This window comes from Homo sapiens, chromosome 10 (assembly GCF_000001405.40).
Source record: "Homo sapiens chromosome 10, GRCh38.p14 Primary Assembly".
NCBI classification, from domain to species: domain Eukaryota; kingdom Metazoa; phylum Chordata; class Mammalia; order Primates; family Hominidae; genus Homo; species Homo sapiens.
The window spans coordinates 97634157-97652887 of record NC_000010.11 but is presented as its reverse complement, the minus strand read 5'-3'; the positions used below and the strand labels follow the sequence as shown (position 1 = coordinate 97652887).

The 18731-nt window shown below is 45.3% G+C and overlaps 1 protein-coding gene across 1 annotated transcript in view, besides 5 other annotated features; it reads right to left on the bottom strand.

Annotated features, from left to right (window-relative positions):
• Nucleotides 1–12217, bottom strand: part of PI4K2A (phosphatidylinositol 4-kinase type 2 alpha) — a 35764-nt gene extending 23547 nt beyond the window's left edge. The window contains exons 1-2 of the mRNA NM_018425.4: nt 11711–12217; nt 1747–1947 (exon numbers count right to left, since the gene is read on the bottom strand). Coding sequence (NP_060895.1) covers nt 1747–1947; nt 11711–12145 — 636 coding nt within the window. The 5' untranslated portion in view covers nt 12146–12217. The remainder of the gene's footprint in view (nt 1–1746; nt 1948–11710) is intronic.
• Nucleotides 343–1542: an enhancer, noted in NCBI's record as "MED14-independent group 3 enhancer chr10:99411103-99412302 (GRCh37/hg19 assembly coordinates)". NCBI's record gives its function as "activates an origin of replication core promoter dependent on BRD2, BRD4, P300/CBP and CDK7 cofactors, and independent of MED14, by STARR-seq in HCT116 cells {active_cell/tissue: HCT116}" and the evidence as "EXISTENCE:reporter gene assay evidence [ECO:0000049][PMID:35650434]".
• Nucleotides 3859–3918: an enhancer, noted in NCBI's record as "active region_3856". NCBI's record gives its function as "activates an Ori minimal core promoter by ATAC-STARR-seq in GM12878 lymphoblastoid cells {active_cell/tissue: GM12878}" and the evidence as "EXISTENCE:reporter gene assay evidence [ECO:0000049][PMID:35858748]".
• Nucleotides 3969–4018: an enhancer, noted in NCBI's record as "active region_3855". NCBI's record gives its function as "activates an Ori minimal core promoter by ATAC-STARR-seq in GM12878 lymphoblastoid cells {active_cell/tissue: GM12878}" and the evidence as "EXISTENCE:reporter gene assay evidence [ECO:0000049][PMID:35858748]".
• Nucleotides 11898–12127: a silencer, noted in NCBI's record as "silent region_2683". NCBI's record gives its function as "represses an Ori minimal core promoter by ATAC-STARR-seq in GM12878 lymphoblastoid cells {active_cell/tissue: GM12878}" and the evidence as "EXISTENCE:reporter gene assay evidence [ECO:0000049][PMID:35858748]".
• Nucleotides 13292–13475: a silencer, noted in NCBI's record as "fragment chr10:99399170-99399353 (GRCh37/hg19 assembly coordinates)". NCBI's record gives its function as "represses an EF-1alpha promoter that drives an FKBP-Casp9 reporter gene in an ReSE screen in K562 erythroleukemia cells {active_cell/tissue: K562}" and the evidence as "EXISTENCE:reporter gene assay evidence [ECO:0000049][PMID:32094911]".

Sequence of the window (18731 nt, the reverse complement as noted above, 5' to 3'; positions counted from 1 at the left end):
ATTTCATATTCATTTACTGACTCAGCTGGTACTTCATGAATGCTTACTATAAATATAGTATTTTGCTAGGTGCTGAGAATGAGAGAGGAAATCTTGAGAAGTGGTCTCTGACTTCTATAACTTACAAACTAGTTGGCTAATTGTTTGGAGTTTAGTAGCAAAGGAGCAGACATGGTTAAATATCCACAATAGTCACATTTTCCTCTCAAACGGAAGGGAAGTTTCTACTGCTGATCAATCTCTTTGCTCATAGAATCTGCTATCTAAACCTGAGAAGACATCTTTAAGGCTGGGTGTGGTGGCTCACACTTGTAATCCCAGCACTTTGGGAGGCCAAGGCAGGAGGATAGCTTGAGCCCAGGAGTTCAAGACCAGCCTGGGCAAAACAGGGAGACCTTGTCTCTACAAAAAATTAAAAAAAAAAAAAATTAGCCAGGCATGGTGGCACATGCCCGTAGTCCCAACCTGAGAGGCTGAGGTGGGAGGACTGCTTGAGCCTGGGAGGTCAAGGCTGCAGTGAGTTGTGATCATGCCACTGCACCCCAGCCTGGGCAACAGAGCAAGACCCTGTCTCTAAAAATAAGAAAGAAAAGAAAACTTTAAGCAGAGGGATTTTAATCTAGAGACATGCTCCCTGGGGTGTCAACAGATAGACTGCAACGTTTATGAACCATTGCCCTAAAATTATACACAAAACAATAATTGCAAATATATGTACTTTTTCTGGAAAGGGGGTCTATAGGTTTCATCAGATTCTCAAAGAGTTATTTACTAAATAACTAAATAAATTTAGTTTTAGTTATTTAGTAAATAACTAAATAAACTAGCATAGACTAGTTAAGACTAAGCACGGAGCCAGGATTGTTTAGATGACTCAGCAGCCTCAGGGCATCAGATGAGAGTCCCACCTAAGTTGTTACTAAACCCCAGGTAGCCACGTACTCAGTGAATGATGTGTCCGGACATGTTCATATGCTGACCAGTAGATTCCTTCCCCTCATAACCTTTGGTGAGTTTCATGGAATACCTTGTAGTGCAGGGGTTCTTAGCCTGGTGTCAGTAAACTCCCTCAAATTGTATGCAATCAATTCTGTATTCAAGCATATTGGTGGGGGTGGGGGTTGGGGGAGACCTCAACTATGTCTATAACACATACAAGATGTGTATGAATCCATTCTGAGTGTGAGTTTGCCTAGATCTGGCACCCCTATTTTGATGTGTTCAGACAAGTCCCAAAATTCGACAGCATAAAGATAAGTTAGAAATATTCCATGTCAGTTCCCTGTAGGGTTCAGGCCAGACCATTGTTCTAACCCTCAGCCTGTCCTAAAGTCTTCCTTGTCAGACCCTGCAGAAGTTCTTAGCTGTCATCAGCCAGTCCTAGACTGTATCGAAATGCTGGGATGGCTCAGAAGTCTGAGAGTAAGCCACAAAGTCACTAGGTTTCTAACTAGCTTGGGGTTAGCTGGGATTCAAAGACCAAGGGAGCCATAAACATGCAGTAGAAGTTTGTGAATTTCCTAAAATTGTATGCAAAAATTGTGTGTGTATCCTTCAAAAGATAGCCTTCATCAGGTGATCAAATCATAAGCCTAATCCTGCCATCCTCCCGAAAAAAGATCGAGAACCCAGACTTAGGGTATAAATGACCCCACTGGACCCAAGGTCCCACTAACATGTAGCAGGGCTTAGGCCCCAGGAAAACTGTGGCCAGGCAGTAAGGCTTCCTGGAGATGGGTCACTGACCTTTGTACGGGGAACAATGTTGAGTTCCAGTTTTTGGTCCACCAGGCTGGCCCCTGCTTCTGAGAGATAGCCCTGGTTAAGGACAAGGCAGTCACGGCCAAAGCAGCAAGGACAGCACAGCTTCTGCAGCCACTTGGTCCACTTAGGATTAAGATGCCCATAGGGCTCTTCATTCTTGGGTTTGAAGACAGCAATGATCCTCTACAGAGACCAAAGAAAAAGAGGATGTTAAATCCGAGTTGACCAAAATAGCCCACAGACCAAGTCAGCAGGAATCTGGAAAGAAATGACAGGGCATAGGCAGACAATTCCTACTTACAGTTGGACTCAGGTTTCTCCCAGTTGGTAAGGGGAAGACACCAGCTCGTGTGTGCAGCTAAGAGACCCACTGCTAGAAAGGGTTGTGGCCAAAGAACATCTTAAGTCTTCTCTTTCTTCCTTGCTCCTTTTTCCCTCTTCTCCATCTCTTTTCCCTCATATAAGTACCTACCTCTAACTTTGTGCTTCAAACAAACAAGGTAAATGGATTGCTACATTTCTAGGAGCAAGACACAGAAGCAGGCCAGGTACAAGGGTTCATGCCTGTAATCCCAGCACTTTGGGAGGCCAAGGCGGGTGGATAATTTGAGGCCAGGAGTTTGAGACCAGCCTGGCCAACATGGCGAAACCCTGTCTCTACTAAAAATACAAAAAGTAGCTGGGCGCGGTGGTGCACACCTGTAATTCCAGTTACTTCAGAGGCTGAGGCATGAGAATCACTTGAACCCATGGGGCGGAGGTTGCAGTGAGCCTAGATTGCCCACACTGCATTCCTCACCCTGGGCGACCAAACGAGACCCTGTCTCACAAAAAAAAAAAAAAAAGGTACAGAAGCCAATTCAGTGGTAGATCGTGAGTCACTGGCAGCATCTAATGCCAATATGGTACTGCTTCCTGCCCTCCAGAAAGATACAATATCCTAATGCACATATCGAGGGCTCTAAAGTAATCTTTCCCCCAAAAAAATGAGGAATTAACTTATCACAGGTTATATGTTCTCTTTTTTTGCATGCACCCCTGCCCTATTTATCCTACGGGATCTTTCTGTATGTGGTATGCCAGAAATTTAACATCATAAACTCTAATTTCCGAAGTTACATTATGCACACTGTTGTTCTGCACCAATTACAGAAAGACTAAAAACTTTACCAACTGGAAGGAAGTAAAGAAGGTATTATGGGCCGGGCATGGTGGCTTACGCTTGTAATCCCAGCACTTTGGGAGGCCAAGGTGGGCAGATAACCTGAGGTCAAGAGTTCGAGACCAGCCTGGCCAACATGGTGAAACCCTGTCTCTACTAAAAATACAAAAATTAGCTGGGCATGGTGGCATGCACCTGTAATCCCAGCTACCCGGGAGGCTGAGGCAGGAGAATCACTTGAACTCAGGAGGCGGAGGTTGCAGTGAGCTGAGATCACGCCACTGCACTCCAGCCTGGGTGACAAGACCAAGCCTCTGCCTCAAAAAAAAAAAAAAAAAAAAAAAAAAAAAAATCTATTATGGAATGAGGTTAAGGAAATTCCTTCATCAATGATGAAGAGATTTCCTCTCGCAGCCTTATTATCCAAAGAGAAAAATCACAGCAGGAAAAAGACTCTGCTACTTGGTTAGAATGAAGCTCTCTTAAGTAATTCTGATAGGCAAGAAACCAGGACATGAGATGCCACACAGATTAAATCCATCTTCTATAGCAGACAGTAACTTAATCTTCTAAGGTCTTTGGAAATATGGGATGCCTAGAAACTATGGCCCTCCCTCCTGAGTGTTTTCTTCAACAGGCCAGTCAGCCCTCTGAGGTTGTTTTACATTCATCTAATTCCCTCCAGTCCCCAAACTGGTAATTCAAAGGAAAAAAGCAAATATGCTATCCAAGTGATTCATCCTCATATCATATGACTCTCCTTGTCCCCTCACCCCACAGCCTACTCAAGCTAGTCTGGGTCATAAGATATTTTTCTGTGGGTGTCACTTCCTGAATGGCAGGTCACAGCAGACAACATACACCCATCTGCTTTTACCAACTCAGTACTCATATTAGGAACTAGCTAGGTCCATGTCGCTAACAATAACTGGTCGATCTTGAAGCCAGCTCCTTTAAAAATGCCTTCCAAGGATTTGAGAGGACAAGAAAAATACAGAACTCCTCCTTCTCCCTCCAAAAAGAATCAATTTATTCTTAAAGACAAACTAACTTATTTACTGGCAAATGCAAAATGCATATATTCACATCATAAGTCTTCAGAATTACTTTCTTATGCAAAGCAGCTAGCTAGAGTCCTCAGCAGTCTTCTCTGTCTCTGCTCCCCTGGAACCCCAGCCTCTGAATAACAAAGCAGCAGTAGCAACAGGCTCACAACTCAGAGAATGACTGACGAGTCCACTGTAACCCTCCGGACCCTGGACAGGGAAACCAAAAGGCAACTTGAAGCATGTCCCAGAACGCAACAGTCAGTTCAACTGAGGCACATTATGGAGTTCAGTAAGCTGGTCCTCAATGAAAAGGAGGCCAAGACACTCCTACTACTACTGGGGGCTGAAAAATACCAGGGCTGAGGTCAACTGGTAAATACTTCTACTTAAAGACAGAAAAAGTTGGGCATGGTGGCTCATGCCTATAAGCCCAGCACTTTCAGAGGATGAGGCAGGATTGCCTGAGGCCTGGAGTTTGAGACCAGTTTGGGCAATACCACAAGACTCTGTCACTAATTTTTAAAAATTAGCCGGGAATCATGCCTGTAATCCCAGCACTTTGGGAGGCCAAGGAGGGTGGATCACCTGAGGTCAGGAGTTCGAGACCAGCCTGACCAACATGGAGAAACCCCATCTCTACTAAAAATACAAAATTAGCCAGGCATGGTGGCACATGCCTGTAGTCCCAGCTACTCGGGAGGCGAGGCAGGAGAATCGCTTGAACCTGGGAGGTGGAGGTCGCAGTGAGCCGAGATCATGCCATTGCACTCCAGCCTGGGCAATGAGCGAAATAGCATCTCAAAAAAAAAAAAAAAAAAAATTAGCTAAGTGTGGTGGTATGCACCTGTAGTCCCAGCTACTCGGCGGGGAGAATCCCTTGTGCCTAGGAGATCAAGGCTGCAGTGAGCTAGAAGCATGCCACTGCACTGTAGCCTGGGTGACAGAGCAAGACCCCATCTCTAAAAAAGAAAAATTAAACAACAACAACAAAAAAAAAGCAAGCAGAACTTGAAGGCCAAGATTGCAGTCAAGTGTCATTTAAAGACTGACCTCTCAAACATCTTGATTTCCTTCTACCATAAGGAGAATAAGAAGCATTTCAATGACTCCAAAAGCATGAGTAATTATGGTTATGCAATAGTACAGGGGTTTTATTAAAGAATACTGCCTGGACTAGATCAATGAGGGAATGTTAGAGTATGAAGAATGGAGGAACAAAAGGGCATTCAGACAGAAGGGGAGACAAGTGCCTTTCAGGACTAAGTGTAAGCCTCAGTTCAATTCAATTATGTTAGCATTTGCTCAGGACCTAGCCTGTGGAGAACGATGTGCAAGCATTCTGCAGGCATTTGGTGGCTTTCCTAGACAGAGAGGTAAAATACCCTCTGGCCTAATTTCCAATGTTCACTTCATAAAATCAACTATGCTACTGAATAATCAAGAATACTCTTCTCATTCATGGAGAACAAACTCTAAAACCACTCAAATTGGAAAGACACCCACCAGTATTTAGCTGGAAAAGAAAATGACTACTGCCTAATTTTTCCTCACCATCCACTCTCTTCTTTAATATTTTGTGTTTTTTTTCTCTTAATAGATTTTCAATTCCTTTATTATATCTAGGAGAGAGCTTCAGTTTGATGCCAATATTATAAAAACAACTTTTCTTAACACCCATTTACTAATCTCCCCTTTTAACAAAGGAGGGGTGAGGTACAGATAGCTTAAGCAGTAGCAGTCCATGAAGTTGGGAATAAAAACCAAATCACACAAGAAAGCAAGAGGCCATGCACCAGCTGGTGTCAGAACCCACAACCAATTACTGGAACCTGAGCCCAGCGCAGTGGCTCACACTTATAATCCCAGCACTTGGGAGGCCAAGGCAGGTGGATCATTTGAGGTCAGGAGTTCAAGACCAGCCTGGCCAACATGGTGAAACCCCATCTCTACAAAAAAAAAAAATAGAAAAAATTAGCCGGGCATGGTGGCATGCACCTGTAGTACCAGCTACTCAGGAGGCTGAGGCGGGAGAATCGCTTGAACCCAGGAGGTGGAAGTTGCAGTGAGCCAAGATCACACCACTGCACTCCAGCCTGGGCAACAGAGCTAGACCCCCCTCTCAAAACAAACAACAACAAAAAATTACTGGAACCTGGAACCCAGCGGGGTTCCTATATCTAATCAGCAATGACAAGGAGGAGGGTGTCATGCTATGCTAAAAGAGGTCCTTTCTCCAAGAACCTAAAATGTAAGACAGTTCAAGCATATCATTCACATCGCACAGTGAAATATACAGAAATTACCTTTTATAAAAGTCTTCTTTTAAAGTTTCATAAACATTAAGTGGATAGTTCTCAAACGTTTTGGTCTCAAAAAGTTTAAACTCTTAAAAATTAGGCTGGGTGTGGTGGCTCATGCCTGTAATCCCAGTACTTTGGGAGGCCAAAGCGGGTGGATCACCTGAGATCAGGAGTTTGAGACCACCCTGGCCAACATGCTGAAATCCTGTCTCTACTAAAAATACGAAAATTAGCCGGGCATGGTGGTGGGCGCACCTGTAATCCCAGCTACTTGGGAGGCTGAAGCAGGAGAATTGCTTGAACCCAGGAGGCAGAGGTTGCAGTGAGTCGAGATCATGCCTGATCTAGCCTGAGCGACAGAGTGAGGCTCCATCTCAAAAAAAAAAAAAAAAATTATTAAGGACTCCAAAAAGCATTTGTTAATGTGGGTAAAGGCTATATCTCATATCTTAGTATTCAATCTGTTTCAATATCACACATCATGTAGTCTCTGGAAATCTCCACTCTCCACTCCTAAGTAAATGAGAATGAAAAAGGCAAATAAAGTCTTAGAATTATGATGAAAATAATTTTGACCTGTGGACCCCAAAAAGGAACTCCCAGAGGTCAAGATCCCTGGGCCACACTCTAAGAACTGCTGTATTCTATGGTATAGGTTGGAGGAAAATAGTAGTCCTTGATTTAGCTATTTAGGTAGAGAAGCCTTATTTACAAGTTCATTCTTACAAAAGGAAGGGAAGGGCTTGTTGAAATATATAAAACCATCCAGGCACAGTGGCTCACACCTGTAATCCCAACACTGGGAGGCCAAGGCTGCAATGAGCCAAGGTTGTGCCACTGCACTCCAGCCTGGGCGACAGGGTGAGAAACTGTCTCAAAAATATATATATAATAAAATATAATAAAATTATTTTACTAAAACGTTAAGAGGCAGTCAAGTTTGTCATACATGTAGGTCTCGAGATTTTAAGCATCATCTACCAACTTTTTTTTTTTTTTTTTTTTGAGATAGAGTCTTGCTGTCTCGCCCAGGCTGGAGAGCAGTGGCACGATCTTGGCTCACTGCAAGCTCCGCCTCCCGGGTTCACGCCATTCTCCTACCTCAGCCTCCCGAGTAGCTGGGACTACAGGTGCCCGCCACCACGCCCGGCTAATTTTTTGTATTTCTAGTAGAGATGGGGTTTCACCATGTTAACCAGGATGGTCTCTATCTCCTGACCTTGTGATCCGCCCGCTTCAGCCTCCCAAAGTGCTGGGATTACAGGCGTGAACCACTGCGCCCCATCTACCAACTCTTATAGCCTTATTCGATACCATGTACCCCAAGAACCCTAATTAAGCAGTTAGTAGGAATGTTTTTAAAAATCTGATTGAGCTGCCCCAACTAAGTGCCAGGAACTACGTCAGGGCTTTCATGTGTGATATGTCATTTAATCCTCTTAACCTAGTGAGTCACATGCTGTCCTATGATTCTTGGCAATGTGAAAATCTAGTATTACTCCACGCAAAAGAGAAAAAGCTCAAAAAACCCTTTTGCAGTTGAGTGAGCATGAGACCTGAAGCACAAGGAGGTAAGTGAGGGGGGTATGTGTATACTCTCCCCATGACTTCTAGCATTTTCCATCTGTTCTTGGACCCCACTGAGACAGAAACCATCCAAAATTGAGAAATGGGACCAGGGCTGTTATCTTCAAGAATCTTTCAGACTGTCTAAGATCCAAAAGTGGCTGTCGCAGAAAGTGCTGGTTCTCCCAATCTCTGTTCCCCCTTGTTCCCTAGACACAAGACCCATGATTTTTACCTGGGCGAAAAAAGAAAAAAGACTATAGTTCCCAGCCACTACTACAGCTAAGTTTTAGACAATGGAATGTAAGTAGAAGAGTCTCCTACAACTTCTACGAAGTGCCTTAAAGGATGGGGGCATATTCACCCTCTCCCTTTCCTTCTTCCAAATGGCTGAAAAGCAGACAAGATGTTTGCAGCTTGAGCGGCCATCTTGGACCATGTAGTAGAAGCCATATCCTAAAGATGGCTGATCAGCTGGCAGGAAGAACCCTATGTCTCCAATAAAGTGAAATGTCATGCCAGCCCTGAGCATGCCTGAGCAGCTAGCCTATAGACTTCTTTTACATGAGGTGTAAATGAACCTTTTTTCAAGTCATCATTATTTTAAAATATCTGTCACATATAGTCAAATTCAATACTAACCAATATAGTAGCTGAGAAGAGAATTTAGAAATTCTTTTCTTTTGTTTTGTTTTTGAGACGGAGTCTCACTCTGTCGCCCAGGCTGGAGTGCAGTGGTACGATCTCGGCTCACTGCAACCTCCACCTCCCAGGCTCAAGCAATTCTCCTGCTTCAGCCTCCCGAGTAGCTGGGATTACAAGTGCCTGCCACAGTGCTCGGCTAATTTTTGTATTTTTAGTAGAGATGGGGTTTCACCATGTTGACCAGGCTGGTCTCGAACTCCTGACCTCCAGTGATGCGCCTGCCTCGGCCTCCCAAAGTGCTGAGAGTACAGGCGTGAGCCACCGCACCTGTCCAGAATATGGAAATTCTGATGACTGACTCTGAGGGAGCAAAGGATAGTGGTGAGAACATGAACTCCACAGCCAACCCGCCTTGGCCCAATCCTGCCTCTACCACTTACTAGGTGTGAGACCTTGGAAAAATTTGTTATACCATGGGCTTGTGTTGTCACCTGCGGGGATAATAACAGTACCTACCTCCAAGGGTGGTTATAAAGATTAAGTGAGTTATTATTTGTAAAGCACTTAAAGGAATATAGTAAATGCTATGTAAGTATTTGTTTAATAAAGTAAATACATTTGGAGGAGAGCCAAAGATGACAATTCCAACTACAGTAAGTCTGTGGGCCAGTCTAACCCACCGCAAGCATTTAGAAAGTGCCCTTTGTTCTAAATCACATTTTCTTCACTGGAAGCAGTATGAGTACGTCAAAAAGTTTTGTCAGGGCATCTGTGTTTGGACTTCCCCTATGAGAAAGGATAGTGGCCAGGAAATTTTAGAGACTGGAATCCCTAAATCACCAAGTAACATACCTATGGTCTGTCCTTCTCTGTGGCCTATGTACTGAGATGGTAGTACTTTACCTGCCAGGTAGAATTAAGAGATCGTATTACTTCCATCTGTCAAAGCACCAGCTCACTTCTCAGCTGACCTAACCCACTTCCAATGCAGCTCTAACAGTGTCATGAAAGAAAAACAAAAATATTCCTCCTTCTCCTGTACCTATCAAAGATAATCTTAGCCCCTTCTTACATTTGCCAACAAACTAAAAATACCCTCTGCCCACAAAAAAAGGACAGGCATGGTGGGTCACACCTGTAATCCCAGCACTTTGGGAGGCTGAGGCAAGAGGATGACTGCTTGAAGCCAGGAGTCTGAGACCAACCAGGGCAACATGGCGAGACTCTTGTCTCCATGAAAAATAATTTTTAGCCGGGTGTGGTGGTGCGTGCCTGTAGTCCCAGCTACTCGGAAGCTGAGTGGGAGGACCTTGAGCCCTGGATGTCAAGGCTGCAGTGAGCAGTGAGACTGCACCACTGCACTCCAGCCTGGGTGTCAGAGTGAGACCTTCTCTGAAAGAAAGAAAGACGAGAAAGAGAGAATGAATGAAAGAAAGAAAGAAAAAGAAAGAAAGAGAAAGAAAGAAAGGAAAGAAAGGAAGGAAGGAAGGAAGGAAGGAAGGAAGGAAGGAAGGAAGAAAGAAAGAAAGAAAGAAAAAGAAAGAAAGAAAGGAAGGAAGGAAGGAAGGAAGGAAGGAAGGAAGGAAGGAAGGAAGAAAGAGAAAGCAAGCAAGCCTCTGGCTGACATTTAAACCTCAGGGCACTCACATTTCTTTGCTTCTAGAAATGATGGTTCCCACTTGAGCTTGCAAGCTCTTTTATTTAAGAAACTTGGAGGCCGGGCGCGGTGGCACGCCTGTAATCCCAGCGCTTTGGGAGGCCGAGGTGGGCAGATCACAAGGTCAAGAGATCGAGACCATCCTGGCCAACATGGTCTCTACTAAAAATACAAAAATTAGCTGGGTGTGGTGGTGCACGCCTGTAGTCCCAGCCACTCAGGAGGCTGAGGCAGGATAATTGCTTGAACCTGGGAGGCGGAGGCTGCAGTGAGCTGAGATCGCGCCACTGCACTCCAGCCTGGCGACAGAGCAAGACTCTGTCTCAAAAAAAAAAGAAAAAAAAAAAGAAAAAGAAACTTCGAAAGACTTATTACTCGCAAAGCTTTCCCCAACTCAGTTTATGTAAACTGAGAAACTGAGTTCATGGCAGAATTGTTCTCTAATTCTTGATTAATTCAGGGACGACTCAAACTCTGAGTGAATAACTAGATCATTCAATGAGCCGAACCAAGAGCTACAAGTAACAGCCCGTCCTGGCCACTCAGGACTCCTATTAAAACAGCACCCTGGCCATCTAAAGAGTTCACACAGGAGAGATGTCAGGGAAAATCTGAGGAAACTTTGACACCCATAATTTAAATAACAATACATCTTTCCAATGACCCATTGCAGCACACCTGAAAATTTCCCTGAAACTTCCCTGAAAACAGGGAAGACTTGGTATTTCTTAAATTCTGCAGTTCTCAAAAGGATAAAGGTCACTTCTCAGATACCCTGGTCACTCCATGCCCCATCCTATAACCATCCCCCTTTATATACAGGCAGGGGACAAAATAAAGGTCGGCAAACGCTCTGCCTTAGTTGAAAAGCAGGCTGTTGATAGCCCTGGGAGAGAAATGAAAGAAAAAGTAGCTGATGGCCCCATGTTTCTAAAACTCCAAGTTCTATCTAAACTTTGGAGTCGTCAAAAAGTATTTGAACCCTTTCCCAGAAGTGAGCAATACCCAGGGCAGATGAAACTGGTGAGTCCGCCCATTCTTTCTTCAACGTCTGTTAATAAGAGCTGGGACGGTGGCAGGGGACATCCCCCACAACATAGAAGGCTGGAACTGAATTCTCAGATCCCCTGATAGGTCACCCATCCTCCTCCGTGAACAGCGACACACTGGTTCGGTCGGTCCAAAAAGAGAGAACAGGCCTAAAGCCCCAAATCTGCAAGTCGGCGGCCGAATAGCTGTCCCAGTAGTGTGAAGCTAAGTACCCTACTAGAAAGCAGTCTCTGTCCAGCGGCGGATTGCCCCACCACACCGCTGAGCCCCCGGCCCGTATCTGGTCAATTTCCTCTTTTCATTTTCCGCTCACTCCTCCCCCACCAAGTAGGTTCTGATTTATTTCTCCATTCCGCAGAGCGTCCCCAGCTCCAGTCCTCAGTGGCATCCCTAAATCCTGCCAGGGGCTGGTACTGTGAAGTTTCTCCCTTTTCCCTCTGGCTGTGCGAAGCCCCCAACTCCCCAGGAGCGCCGCCGGCCCTCAGCCCGCGGCGGCGGTCCCCACCCCCGCACTCACCCCCTGAGGGTCCTTGACGAAGTAGCTTCCGCTGGAGCCCTGGTAGATGCGCTCGGGAAAGATGCAGCGCTCGATGGCCAGCTCGGCCTGCCGCACCACCGCCTCGAACTCAGGATCCTCCGGGAACTCGTTCCGCTCGCGGTGGGCCTGAGCGGCGTGGGCTGCCGCCGCGGCCTGAGCGGCCAGAGCCTGGGCCTGCGCCGCCACGGTTTGGGTCTGGCCCTGGGCCGCCGCGCCCCGGGCCCGATCCAACAGTGGCTGCCGCTCGCGGTCGTGGCCCGGCGAGCCCGGCGGAGAGGGGCCCGAGCCGGCCGCCGCCGCCACTCGGACCGCGCCCCCGGGCACCTGCGGAAAGTGAGCGCCCGAGCCCGACGGGAAGGTGTAGTCCGGGGGTTGGGCCCGCTCGGGGGACACTAGTGGGCTCGTCTCGTCCATCCCTCAGACAGCCGGCTCCGGGACCCGGCGCGCTCCACACCACTGCGCTCGCGGCCGCGACCAATCCGTGACATCCCCCAGGCCCCGGCCGGCCAACCAGGTCGCGACGCCTCCTTGGCCCCGCCTCTAACCTGCCCTGTTTACTTGGCTACGAATAGGCACGGCCCCTCGCGCGCGAACAGTAGCCAATCAGAACCTGCTCCTACGCAATCGCTGCCTCCGCATTTTTCTCCCCGTCACCTTCTGTGAAGACTGCGCATGCTCCAGGACCCAACCTTGGGTCAGGCACGCCCCCTGCCCCTACTATACCAGCGCCACGCTTAGCTTCCAATTGGCTTACTGGACTTGGGCGCTTTCAAAACAGCAACTATCCTGTCAGTCACTCATTGAGTGCCTACTCTGAACCGGCTGTGAGATTGGAGGAATCTCATCTATGTATCCTCATTCATTCAGTCAGGCACTCATTCATTTATTGAGCACGTACTATGTTCTAAGTGCTAGGGAGACAGCAGTGAAGCAAAGAAACAAAGCTGCTGCTCTACCTCGATGAAACGTTTTTTTTGGGGCGGGGGGTTTGTTTTTTGGGTTTGTTTTTTTTTTTTTTTTGAGACAGAGTGATCAGTCTCCAAAAAAAAAACGACAGAGGTCAAGTGATCTGCCCACCTCGACCTCCCAAAGTGCTGGGATTACAGGTGTGAGCCACTGCGCTTGGCCTGGAAGTAGGTTTTTAAAGGAAAAGAGGCAGTTCCTAACTTGTTTACCAAGAATTTACATTAAAATAACAAGTTATAGATTGGCTATACATTGTACTTTGTATCCCAAATTCGTATCTCAGTTGACCTAACATACTTCCAATGTAGATGTAACAATGTCAGGTTACACTTCAAGTTCGCAGGAACTTGAAGGTAATGGGTGAAGTAGCCAGTCAGGATAAAATGTCTTAACAATTGCCTCCAGGTTTTCCTAGGAAGCCCTGAAGATTTCTTTTTAAAATATTATTATTATTTTTTTAGAGTTAGGTTATCTCTATGTTGCCTGGGCTGGTCTTGAACTCCTGGCCTCAGGCGATCCTCCTCCCTCAGTCTCCCAGAGTGCTGGGGGATTACAGGTGTGAACCACCCACAGTGCAGCCAAAAAATAAAAAATTTTTAAAAGAAAAAAACCCGCCAGGCACAGTGGCTCACGCCTGTAATCCCAGCACTTTGGGAGGCTGAGGCAGGCGGATCACCTGAGGTCGGGAGTTCAAGACCAGCCTGACCAACATGAAGAAACCCTGTCTCTACTAAAAATACAAAATTAGCCGGGCATGGTGGCACATGCCTATAATCTCAGCTACTCGGGAAGCTGAGGCAGGAGAATCGCTTGAACCCAGGAGGCAGAGGTTGCAGTGAGAAACTCTGTCAAGAAAGAAAGAAAAAGAGAGAAAGAGAAAGAAAGAAAGGGAGAGGGAGAGGGGCAGGAAGAAATAAAGAAAAGAAAGGGAAGGAAAGAAAGGAAAGAAAGAAAGAAAGAAACCATTGCCCCAGAGTGTGGGTGTGGAAGGCATGACTGAAGTCCCATACTCATGTCTTTGAGCCAATAGACTGTGCATACATCACACAGAGCTCAGACTGCTCTAAGCTATCTTTCCTTCTCAACCTTATAGGAATTCAAGGCCAGCCTGGGCAACATAGCAAGACTCCATCTATTTTTTAAAAATTAATTTTTTTAAGGAGTTCCTAGGAAAACCCAGGGGCAATTGTTAAGACATTTTATTCCTGACTCGCTGCCTCACCCATTATCTTCAAGTTCCTGTGAAGATACAAACTTGTGATACAAAGAATAATACATAGCCAATTAATATCTTACACTGTGCCTGGCCCAGCTGCTCAATGCTTATTTGTTAATTGAAGAAAAATATGGTCCCATGAGCCTAAGAAGTTCTTACCACGAGGTAAGAGTCCATTGCTTTTACTCACACTGTTAAATCTCAGTGTCTAGACACAGTAGGTGCTCAGTACATTATTATTCATGAGAAAGGGAAGGAAGATAGAGTCCCTGCCCTCAAGCTGAAGGCATGTGGCTTTCTGAGGCAGTAGGAGAAAAAAAAGCAAAATGAGCTCAAAACTCCGTAACAGTTCACCAATTAACTGAGGCAGGCTGCAGGCTCAGCAAAGGCTTTATTTTTTTTCTAATTTTTTTTTTCAACCAGAATGCTCAAGGATCAAGCAAAGGCTTTAAGTGGGTCATGTGCTATGAGCTGAGTCTTAAAGAAAGAGTAATTAGATTGCTGGAAAAAAAGGAGACAGGAAAAAAATGTTACACCAAGCAGGAGTTACCTGAGTAAAAGAGGAAGGCTAGGGCATATAGGGAACAGAGAGCAACCTTCTTGATTCGAGGGGAAGCAGAGTTAAACTGGGTTACCAAGGGCCTGGAAAGTAGAACAGAACGAGACCAGCCTGGGCAACATGGTGAAACCCCGTCTCTACTAAAAATACAAAAATTAGCCGGGCTTGGTGGCACATGCCTGTAATCCCAGCTACTTGGGAGGCTGAGGCAGGAGAATTGCTTGAACCTGGGAGAAGGAGGTTGCAGTGAGCAGAGATTGTGCCACTGCACTCCAGCCTGGAACAACAAGAGCGAAACTCCATCTGAAAAAATAATAATAATAATAAATTCATGGAATACTGTTTCAGTTAAAATTTATACAAACAAGCCAGGTACGATGGCTCACGCCTATAATCCTAGCACTCTGGGAGGCTGAGGCGGGTGGATCACCTGAGGTCAGGAGTTCAAGACCAGCCTGGCCAACATGGCGAAACCCTGTCTCTACTAAAAATACAAAAAAAAAAAAAAAATTAGCTGGGCTTGGTGGCACACGCCTATGATCCCAGCTATTTGGGAGGCTGAGGTGTGAGAATCGCTTGAACCTGGGAGGTGGAGGTTGCAGTGAGCTGAGATCGTACCCCTGCACTCCAGCCTAGGCGACAGAACAAGAATCCGTCTCAAAAAAAAATGTATGCAAACACTACCTTCAAAAGTGTAGAATGTACATCCAGGCTTGGTGGCTCACACCTGTAATCCTAGGGGAGACCAAGGCGGGTGGATCACAAGGTCAGGAGTTTGAGACCAGCCTGTCCAACATGGTGAAACCTCGTCTCTACTACAAAAAATTAGCCAGGCATGGTGGCAGGCGCCTGTAATCCCAGGTACTACGGAGGCTGGGGCAGGCGAGTCGCTTGAACCTGGGAGGTGGAGGTTGCAGTGAGCTGAGATCGTGCCATTGCACTCCAGCCTAGGCAACAGGGCCAGACTCCGTTTCAAAAAAAAAGTGTAAAATGTAATGGTTGGAAGCATGGGCTTGGAAATCAGAGACATTTGAGTTTGAATCCAGTCTCCATGATGATCAGTTGTTTTAGACAAGTTATATAACCTCTCTAAGCCTCAGTTCCTTAATCTATAAAATGGGAATAATCATCCCCATGATTACTGAATCAAGAATCAATATAATGTTATGTAAAGCACTTAGCATATGAAGCATGACTCTCTAATAGGAAAAATAAAAATAAAGCACTTAGCATAGTGTTTTGTACATAAAGAGCACTCAACATATGGTAGCTTTTTGAAAAAAAATCACTGCTGATGTTACTGTTGATGTTGTTTTTGTTTTTATGCTTAAAGTCACCAGCAGACTAGAGGTATGGGCTTTCACGAATCATGGCCAGTCACATAGTCACCAATATTTCATAATCATTCTTTCTTGAATCAAATTATTGCCACTGCTAACTAGAAATACCAAATTGAAAGCACTATTGTTTAATTATATGTATGGGAATGTCTTAAACATTTTTGGCCAGACAAACCATTCTAAACAAAAGTCGTACAGAAGGTTAAATTGCCCCTTTCAGTTATAATACATGCACTTCCTTTTCCTATCTAGACCTCAATAATCAACTGATGCCTGGCTCTTGTGGCCCAGGGTCTGTAGCCACATAGATAATCTTTTGGTATCATTCATCTCATTTAGCCCATAAGCTTCAAATTATGGTAAAGGAAAGGTCCCAGATTTAGAGTTCTCCCTGGAATTCTGAGTTTTTTCTCCACAGAAACCCCTCAGAGTCTTTTATTTTATCTAAAAAAATTTTTTGGCCAGGCACAGTGGCTCACGCCTGTAATCCCAGCACTTTGGGAGGCCGAAGCGGGTGGATCACGAGGTCAGGAGTTCGAGACCAGCCTGGTCAAGATGGTGAAACCCTGTCTCTACTAAAAATACAAAAATTAGCCGGCTCTGTCACTCAGGCTGGAGTGCAGTTGTGCAATCTCAGCTCACCGCAACCTCCGCCTCCCGGGTTCAAGCGATTCTCCTGCCTCAGCCTCCTGAGTAGCTGGGACTACAGGCGCGGGCCACCACATCCGGCTAATTTTTGTATTTTTCAGTAGAGACGGGGTTTCACCATGTTGGCCAGGATGGTCTCGATCTGTTGACCTCATGATCCGCCCACCTCGGCCTCCCAAAGTGCTGGGATTACAGGCATGAGCCACCACACCCGGCCTAGACATTGTTTTAAATGCATTACATGGATTAACTCATGGAACCAGCTTTATAGTATCCTGTGATGTTGGAAACCCAGACCCAGGGAGGTAAAGGTAATGTGCCCATGGTCATTCAGCTGGTAAATGGCAGAGCCGGATCCAAATCCAGGCAGACTGTTTCCATGCTCTTAACACTATGTTGATTCTTATTAAATATCCCTATGAAATATGTCTCATATTTACCCCCTTTCTTTCATCTCCACTGATGCTACATGAAACTTCCAGGATGTGTTAGTTGCATTATTACAATAACTTCTGAGTTTGTTACTTTGCTTCCAATCTCTCACTGGTCATCTCTGAGTGTCACTGTCAGATTAATTTTCATAAAATACTGCTTGTAGTGTGTCATTCCCCTGGCCAAGAAACTACATTTTATTTATTTATTTATTTATTTATTTATTTATTTATTTATTTATTTATGTTTTGAGACAGGGTCTCTGTTAACCAGGCTCAAGCAGTTCTCTTGCCTTAACCTCCCGAGTGCTGGCACCACAGGCACTTGTCACCACACTCAGCTAATTATAAAGGCCATAAGAGTAACAATCATGGCTTTTCAAGCCTGACAGAACCTAGCATCATGCTGTACTCACATTGTTTAAGAAATAAACATATGGATACACAGATTGATGTGAGTGGTATTTGGGAAGATTTGCTCCAATCTTGGCACTATATTTTATTTATTTATTTATTTATCTAGTGAACCAGAAATAAAATTATAAGCCCCCCAATCAAATGAATGGCCTCCTCTTCTGGGCCAAGGGCATTCCTAAATTAACCTGAAAAACTATTTGAGGCCATGATGAGAAGTGGGAGTCAGACATGCCTCATTATTTTCTCCTGCTTTTGGAATTCAGGACCAGCATTTAACATTAAAGCAGAGATCTTAAGGTTGACACAGCAGACTCTTTGTAGCAATGATACCAACATTGACAGATAGCAGGCCCCATCTGTCATGATAGCAGGCAAAGGTGTCTTTTATGGTGAAAATCTACATTCTGTAGAAAATCCCCTTCCCTTTCCAGGTCTTTTTCCTGATCCAGGGGAGAACTAACTAAGAGTCTGATACCTTTCTAAATCTGATAATAAACACTGGCCAGCCTTGGTGGCTCACACGTGTAATCCTAGCACTTTGGGAGGCAGAGATGGGAGGATCACTTGAGCCCAGGAGTTCAATACCAGCCTGGGCAACATGACAAAACACCATCTCTACAAAAAATACAAAAATAAGCCAGGCATAGTGGAATGAACCAGTAGTCTCAGCTACTTAGGAGGCTGAGGTGGGAGGATAACTTGAGCCTGGGAGGTCAAGGCTGCAGTAAGCCGTGATCCAGCTACTGCACTCCAGACTGGGTGACAGAGGGAGACCCTGTCTCAAAACAAAAAAAAAAATAAAGAAACATTTACAATCTATGCTCTCTGGAGCCTGCTACCTGTAGCCTTCTCTGCATAATAAAAACCTTGATTTCCACAATTCCTTGTGTGTGTGTGTGTGTGTGTGTGTGTGTGTGTGTGCGTGCATATCTTAGTAACAATTCCTTAACTTAACCCAGACATTCCCTTCTGTGGGTTCCAGGTCTTTAAACTCTTTCAACCAATTGTCAATCAGGACATCTTTGAATCCACCTACATCCTGGAACTTGCCACCCCCACCCCCACTTTCGGGACCAAGCCAATGTATATTTTACATGTATTGATTGATGTCTTACGTCTCCCTAAAATGTATAAAATCAAGTGGTGTCCCGACTATTTTGGACACACATTCTTAGGACCTTCTAAGGCTGTGTCACGGGCATGTCCTTAACATTGGCAAAATAAACTCCTAAATTGATTGAGACCTGTCTCAGATACTTTTTGGTTTGCAATTTATTTATTTGAGACAGGGTCTTGCTAGGTCGCCCAGGCTGGGGTACAGTGGCAGAATCATGGCTTATTGCAGCCTCAACCTCCTGGGCTCAAGGGATCCTCCCACCTCAGCCTCCTGAGTAGCTGTGACTACAGGCACCCACCACTAGGC